The sequence below is a fragment of the Homo sapiens genome, chromosome 3, assembly GCF_000001405.40.
Source record: "Homo sapiens chromosome 3, GRCh38.p14 Primary Assembly".
Classification (NCBI taxonomy): domain Eukaryota; kingdom Metazoa; phylum Chordata; class Mammalia; order Primates; family Hominidae; genus Homo; species Homo sapiens.
The window spans coordinates 115,227,622-115,235,691 of record NC_000003.12 but is presented as its reverse complement, the minus strand read 5'-3'; positions in this window follow the sequence as shown (position 1 = coordinate 115,235,691).

Genomic DNA, 8,070 nt, shown 5'->3' with positions numbered 1-8,070 from the left:
CTGGGGCAATGAGAAGCTATTAAAAGTTTTTAAGTAGGAAAGAGATATGATCATATTTGTATGGAAAGATCTGCAGATAGGAGATGAGATCAGACCAGAGAGAGAGAGAGAGAAATTTTTGAATCTAGTTGTTTTTTCAGTAAAGTTTTGGATGATAAAATTTTGGCTATAGAGAATTCCTAAAGGTTCACTGTATTCTGAATTTAATTGTGATCTATCTCTGACCATAAATGACTTTAAACCCTAAATGACACCAAACTAGACTTGGCCTGCATCTAATGTATCAAATCAGTTCCTAGAGGGACTCTACTTTCTAGCTCCTTCTGGGAATTCCTTCCTGTATGTTCCATAGATGCCTCAAACTCAACATGCCCAAAACCCACATCCTTTTTCTGTCCCCTTTCTCTCCTTGGCCACTGCTATGCATCCTATATCCTTTATTTTTAGTAAATGGCATTTCTTCTCTACCATGCCTTAAAAGCTAGGAAATTTTACTCTCATGGATTTCTCTATTTCCTTTACCATCTGCATGAATGCACCATACCATTTTACCTCCTACAAACCTCCTAAAATCCTTCCCTCTTCTCTGACCTCATTGATTATGCTGTAGTCCAGGCCCTGTCATCCTTTACTTTGACTATTATAATAGCTGCTGCCAGGCCTCATTCTGTCCAGTCTCTCTACCTGAAATTCCTTGCCATTTACTGTTGCTCCATTGAACTTTCTCATATGAAAATCTGATCATATCCTTGCCCAGTTTAAAGCCCTGCAAATATTGGAGCAAATTAAAACCAAATTTCTTCATGTGGCTCTTGACCTCCTACCACCATCTCTTCTCACACCCGACTTTGGCATGCTAGCCCTAGTCACCATCGTTGATTGAAAATCTCTTAAGCAAAATGTCAAACACCATTTTCAATGTCATTTTCCCTGTTACTGGGCAAAATTAGCCACTGTCTTGCTCTGTGCTCCAATAGCACTTGGTGTATGTTTGGCTCTGACAATATTGCTTTGGATGGTAATTATTTACACACCTGCTTTTCCTCCAAATCCTAGGTCTTAACTCTGGTTGCATTGGCTTTGGGATGTTTTATGGGTTTCAAAACTCAAATTGCATGCAAAATTCTGTGTGCAAGTGTGGGTGTGCACATGCAGGCAGTTTTCATCAGCACTCAAAGGGGTCCATGACCCCAAAAAAGTTAAGTGGCCCTACTGCCCTAGACTGTGAACTTTTTAGGGCATAGAACATGTTGTGTTCTTCTTTGTATAGCCAGCTTATTGAAGAGTCTGATCTCAGTAGGCCATAAACATGAAACAGTTTTATTTTTCTCTAATCCTTACTTTGAACTAGATTCTGTCAAATCTGCCTTTCCTGCTCTTTAACGACATCACAGACAGATCTTACAACTTTCTAGCCTCTTTCAGTTATTAAAAAACCAGTTCACATGTTTGGCTCCCGATTCAAACAAACCAATTCTAAGAAGACACTTTGAAACAATCAGGGCATTTGAATATGGACTAGTATGAAAGAATATCATGAAAGTAATGTTAATATATTTGGTATAATAATGAAGTTGTGGTTATATCTTTTTTAAGTGCCAAAGCATTAGAGATGTGTGTTAAGTATTTTCAGATAAGAACTAGAAAATATTTGAAGTTCAGTTTATAACACTTCAAAAAAATGGTGGGAGCAACAGATTAAGCAAGATTGACAAAATGTTAATGAGTATTGAAGTTGAGGAAAGAGTACATGGGTAGCCTTAATGAAATTATTTCTACTTTGTGTATATTTGAATTTCTAATAAGCACTTTTTTCTAAACTCAGTTCAGTCAAATTTAAAACCCCACTCTCATTCATATTCAATGGTATGCTGGTAAATGTTTAACAACCAGCTCTACAGAAAAAAAAGGAAAAGAAAGTCCTGATTTGTATCATTTGCCAATTTCTGTGGCTTTAATTCTTCTACCATGGTCAATTTTAAGCTGACAATATAATGCCACTGAATGAAGAGTTGGAAGGAGATGAGCAGTAGCATGCTATTTTGCAGTATTTCCACCACTTACAGATACAGTAGATGTAAATAACAGCATAAAGTAAATGTAAAATGTAGTAAAAAATTAAGAAGTGATGAGCCTTGAGTATGTATTGCCTTTGTTTTAATATTATTTATTTAAGTGTATATGAATATAATTTATTTTATTTTATTTTTGTTTTTGTAGAGACAGGGTCTCACTATGTTGCCCAGGCTGGTCTCAAACTCCTGTCATCAAAGCAATACTCCTGCCTCGGCCTCCCAAAGTGCTAAGATTACAGGCATGAGCTTCTGTACCCATCTTATTTTTTAATAATGACTGTTTAATAAGTGACTCACAAGATTCCTGAAAATTTAACAATCTGCTCTCAGGAACTGGTGCAAGCCAGATTCAGAACATCTCTGTAACATCCTTCCCTTTTTCAATTGGTGAATGCAGCAATAGTTGAGGACCACTGCTTTAATGTTAATTGGCATAGCCCCATTGCTTACTCATTACTGTGAGCATGCCCAGCTCCTCTTAATCGGGCATAACCAGCCAGGAAGAGGGAGAAGCAAATAAATTACCCCCTTTCCTTCTATCACTCTCCACTCATGCTTCTCTGAATCCTTGCTTCAGGATTGCCCCTGGAATGACACATCAACGTATTTCCTATCATTTTAAACCCTGTGTTTCCTTCAAAATAGTTATGCACATAACTACAATGTTTAATAAGTGCTTCCATCTCTCTTAAAAGAATCACTTGATTGTTCATGGGTTATATTGTAAAGCAAGAGGGTGAGAGGAACTTTTTTATTCCTAATAAATACTGTTAAGAGTATTGATGCCTTAAACTACTGAGTGAGCACCCTCTTGGCTTAAGCTTCAGTACGATATATCCATCCATTATTTATAACCATTTAAAATTTTTAAGTAGTCCAATCCATGGTGTTACTTACACTTATCTTTTCTATGTTCTAAATCGTGTGGCTTCAGTTTAACAATGAGAAACATAATATGTATTTTCATATCCCAGCTGAGAAGACTAAATTTTCACCACTTTTACATACACTTTACATAGAAGGAACAATCACAACAGAGTAATTCTAGCACAGAATTTTATCATAACCAAAACAAAAAATATTGTTTAACAGTATATACTGCACTTCCTGTAATCTTTACTCAACCTAAAAGCACAAATTTACATGGATTTTCAAGGTACAAATCCTGAGATTGCACCCCTAAGCCACTTGGCTTATAAAACAGATGACTCCTTTCTGTAAATATTAGGCTACACTGCCATAGTCACAGAATAATAATGCTGGAAGGAAATTAGACAGTATATTATCTAGCCTACCTCTTAATGCCCAGAGAATTTGAAAGTTGACACATGCATGCACACGCGCGCACACACACACACACACACACACAATCACCCAGCTAGTTAATAACCAAAAAAATAACTAGGCCGAGCACAGTGGCTCATGCTTGTAATCCCAGCACTTTGGGAGGCTGAGGTGGCAAATCATTTGAGGTCAGAAGTTTGAGACGAGCTTGGCTAACATGGTGAAACTTTGTCTCTACTAAAAATACAGAAATTAGCCAGGTGTGGTCCCACATGCCTGTAATCCCAGCTACTTGGGAGGCCGAGCCACGAGAATCACTAGAACTTGGGAGGTGGAGTTTGCAGTGAGCCGAGATCATGCCACTGCACTCCAGCCTGGGTGACAGAGCAAGACTCCATCTCAAAAAAAAAAACAAAAAAAGAAAAAAGAAAAAAAAAAACCCCTAATATTTATTGAGCATATATATATATCCTATATGTATCATATATAGAGGAGTTTGAGTATATATATGATATATATAGGAGATATAGGAGATATATATCATATATATGGGAGTTTATAAAGTATATATATATCTCCTATTTATATCATATATATATATGATATAAACTCCTATATATATATATGGGAGTTAGATGTAAAAGATATAGAACTTGTATAAGTTTCAGTGATTCAGAACTAAAATAAGTGATGAAGCTCCAAAATGATCCATATATATGGGAGTTTATTAAGTATTAACTTATGTGATCACTAGGTCCCGTAATAGGTTGTCTGCAAGCTTGAGGAACAAGAAGAGCCAGTCCAAGTCTCAAAACTGAAGAACTTGGAGTCCAGTGTTCCAGGGCAGGAAGCATCCAGCATGGGAGAAAGATGTAGGCTGGGAAGCTAAGCCAGTCTCACCTTTTCATGTTTTTCTGTCTGCTTTATATTTGCTGGTAGCTGATTAGATGGTGCCCACCAGGTTAAGGGTAGGTCTGCCTTTCCCAGCCCATTCAGTCAAATGTTAAGCTCCTTTGGCAACACCCTCACAGACACACCCAGGATCAATACTTTGTGTCCTTCAATCCAATCAAGTTGACACTCCGTATTAACCATCACAGATAGGTAGATAAATGAGTGCCCTAGGAGTGTGTGTATATATATATGTGTGTGTGTGTGTGTGTGTGTGTGTGTATGTATATATACACATAAATATATGTTTATATATATGAATTTATATATATATGAGTATATATATATGAATTTATATATATATGAGTTTGTATATATGAGTTTATATATATATATGTTCATATATATATATATATATATCCTATTAGTTCTATCCCTCTAATACACTACCCAGTCAGAGAACCCTAATACATTACCCAATCAGAACTTAATCACTCTCACTTTATGTACACTTCTAACAGCTTGTCTTTATGGGTTCCAAGACCACAGCAGACTATAAGCAACATGATTTTATTAGGGAGAGGACCTACTTAAATCAATATACTATACATTGATAGTATAAAAGTGAAAAGAGTTATTATGTATGGAATGTCTGCAATATGAAAGACAATTAAGAGTGGATACAAACACAAGAATCATAGCAGTATAGGAAAAATCACGTAGAAGTAAGCAGCCTTGTATGTTCTGATGGCTCTTGAGTGTATCATTCCTTTACAAAATAATCATCAATATGCATAATGATGACCTTGAGTCATCAAAAAAAGGTTAGATGTTTGGCTCTCTCTAATTAAGAAGGCAGCAAAGTGTGCAATCAATTTTAGAAATATTTTCTTATTTCTAAATGCCTAAAATCTTCAATAAATTTTAAGCAAACCATCTGTTATCTAAAATTACTTATTTTAATTCTGAATCACTGAAACTTATACAAATTCTACATCTTATTCTTCAATCTCCCTTACTCCATTTATATAAAGCCATGAGGGTGGGGTCCTCATTATTGGATTACTGCCCTGTAATAAGAGACCAGAGATCTTCCTTCCCTCTCCCAGCCCACCATCTGAGGATATAGCAAGAAGGTTACCATCTGCAAGCCATGAAAAGAGCCCTCACTAGAACCCAACCATGCTGACAATCTGATCTTGGACTTCCAAGCCTCCAGAGCCATGTGAAATAATGTACTGTTATTTAAACCACCCAGTATGATATTTTGTTATGGAAGCCTGAGTAGACTAAGACACAGATATTTCCCAGTACCACCCCCAGCAACTATTGTTCACCATTTTCTGTCATTCCCTTAGGAAAGGGTTTCAAGTTTTCACCTTTCTACCCTTAGGACAGCATGAGAAGGAAACCTTCCCCCCTGGGAGGAAGAAGGACAGAGGAATGAATGATAAAGTTGTCATTCCATATTTATTTTATTTTAATCAACTCCTTGCTCCAGCAGTATTTTGCTCTGCTATGACATTTTCTCTGCAGACACTATCACTAGCAGTCTGAGCCTCTGCAGTAAAAAGGCTGGTAATAATTATTTCTAAATATCTTAAGAAAGAGGAAAGAACAATACTTAAATCATAGACAGAGATAGACAAATACTAGTGTTGTTGATTAATAAGGCAAATTTCCACCAAGGATATCAGTTTTTTCAAATATGATCAGATAATCCTAAAAAGGGTTTTTTACTCCTAGAAGGAAAACAAAGTTAACATTGGAAGAGCACAATGAAAAGAAACGAAAGTTCAACCCAATACGTGACTTAGCCCAGAATTAGGTCATAGAGCACTCAGGGGGAGGCTCTAAGGGTCACAAGGGAATGGCTGTGTCCAAGTCAAAACTGAGAATTAAGGAGTCCCCATTTTGATTGAATCTCATTGGGGCCCAAGATTGTTGAATGCTGGCTCTGAAAAACATCCAAAATATTACCAAAACAATCTGTTGATAAGAAAACTCACTGTGGTAAAGGAGGACACTGTCTCTCTTTAGAGGCACTGTCTCTTGACAGTCCTAGTAGCATCTCAGAAGGGAAAGGAAAAAGTTGGGATATCTATTGAGATTTTAGGGTCTGGTTTAAAGCAGATCTTTCAATGTGAGGACTTGGTTACAATTGAGAGAGGGGCTTCATATGATCATTTAGGATTGGTAACCACAGCAAAACAGGTATTTTGAAGTGAGTAGTTCTGAGGATCTTGGGGTACAAACTGTCTTTAATACTTTCCATTATAGAGTTGACACGTGATATAGTTTGGATGCTTGCTCCCTCCAAATGTCATGTTGAAATTAATCCCCAATGCTGGAGATGGAGGGACTGGTGGGGAGTGTTTGGGTCATGGGGACAGATCCCTCAGGAATGGCTTGGTGTTGTCTTCAGAATAGTGAGTGAGTTCTTGCAAGATCTGGTTGTTTAAAGGAGTATGGCATTTCCTCTTCTTCCTTCCACTCTCCTGTGACACCTGCTCCCCCTTCACCTTCTGCTATGATTGTAAAATTCCTGAGGCCCTCACCGGAAGCAGATGCTTGTACAGCCTGCAGAACCCTGAGCCAATTATTTTGTTTGTAAATTACCCAGCCTCAGGTATTTCTTTATTGCAACACAAAAACAGCCTAATACAACTTCCAGAAAGTTTCTTAAATGAACAATAAAGTTATTTGTAACTTTTATCTTCTAGGACAAGAGCATTCTGGAATGGTAATGTTATATCGATGACAACTGTGAATAGTTTATTAGTTGTTTTCCCATTGCTATAAAGAACTATTGGAGACTGGGTAATTTAGAAGAAAAGAGGTTTAATCGACTCACAGTTCCACAGGTTTAACAGGAAGCATGGCTGGGAGGCCTCAGCAAACTTACAATCTCATGACAGAAGGTGAAGAGTAAACAAGCACATCTTACTGCGGCAGAGCAGGAGAGCGAGAGAGAGCACGAGGAGAGGAAATGACACACTTTAAAACCATCAGATCTTGTGAGAATTCACTTACTATCATGAGAACAGCAAGAGGAAAATTCACCCCCACGATTCAATTACTTCCTACCAGGCCCCTCCTCTGATATATGGGTACTACAGTTCCAGAAGGGATTTGGGTGGGGACACGGAATCAAACCATATCAGTAGTAAAATAGGCATAAGCCATGTAGATGGTTTTCATTCTCCTTCTGTGATGCCCTTGATTGTATTCAGTTATATATAAGTCTATCTTCTTCTCCCCTACCTTCCCCAATAATGCATAAACGCTTTCAGAGCAGAGCTTATATCTGCTCCTGAAATATTGCTTGTTGTCTTTTCTGTCCTACACATTGTTTTAGCTTCAAAATCACCATCATCTCTAAGATATATATATATCTTCTATAAGTTTCTATTATAATTTTCACCACTTCTATAGATAAAAAGCTGCGAAACCAGGTAATGAGGAACACCAGTTGTGGGTTTTTCTAAATGAAAAATTAAGAAAACTAAAATCATTTTAGAGTTCCAGAGTCTTTTCAATGTAATTCATTCTGAGCATGTATGTTTTGAGCTAATTTTAACATAGATGGATTGTTAAGCCTTTTCAATGGTTTGCAAAACAGTGCTAAAATAAGATAGCTTGGATATGTAAACGTGCACTGTACTTTTTCCACAATACTAAGTGTTTAAGAATCACAATTGTAAAAATTCCATTTCAGTGTGTCTTTATTTTTATTACACCAGTTTGTCATCAGCAAAACACTGTGAAGTTTCCTGAGGACAGAAGAGTTCCTCAGCATTTGAAAGGTCTCAGAAAGAAA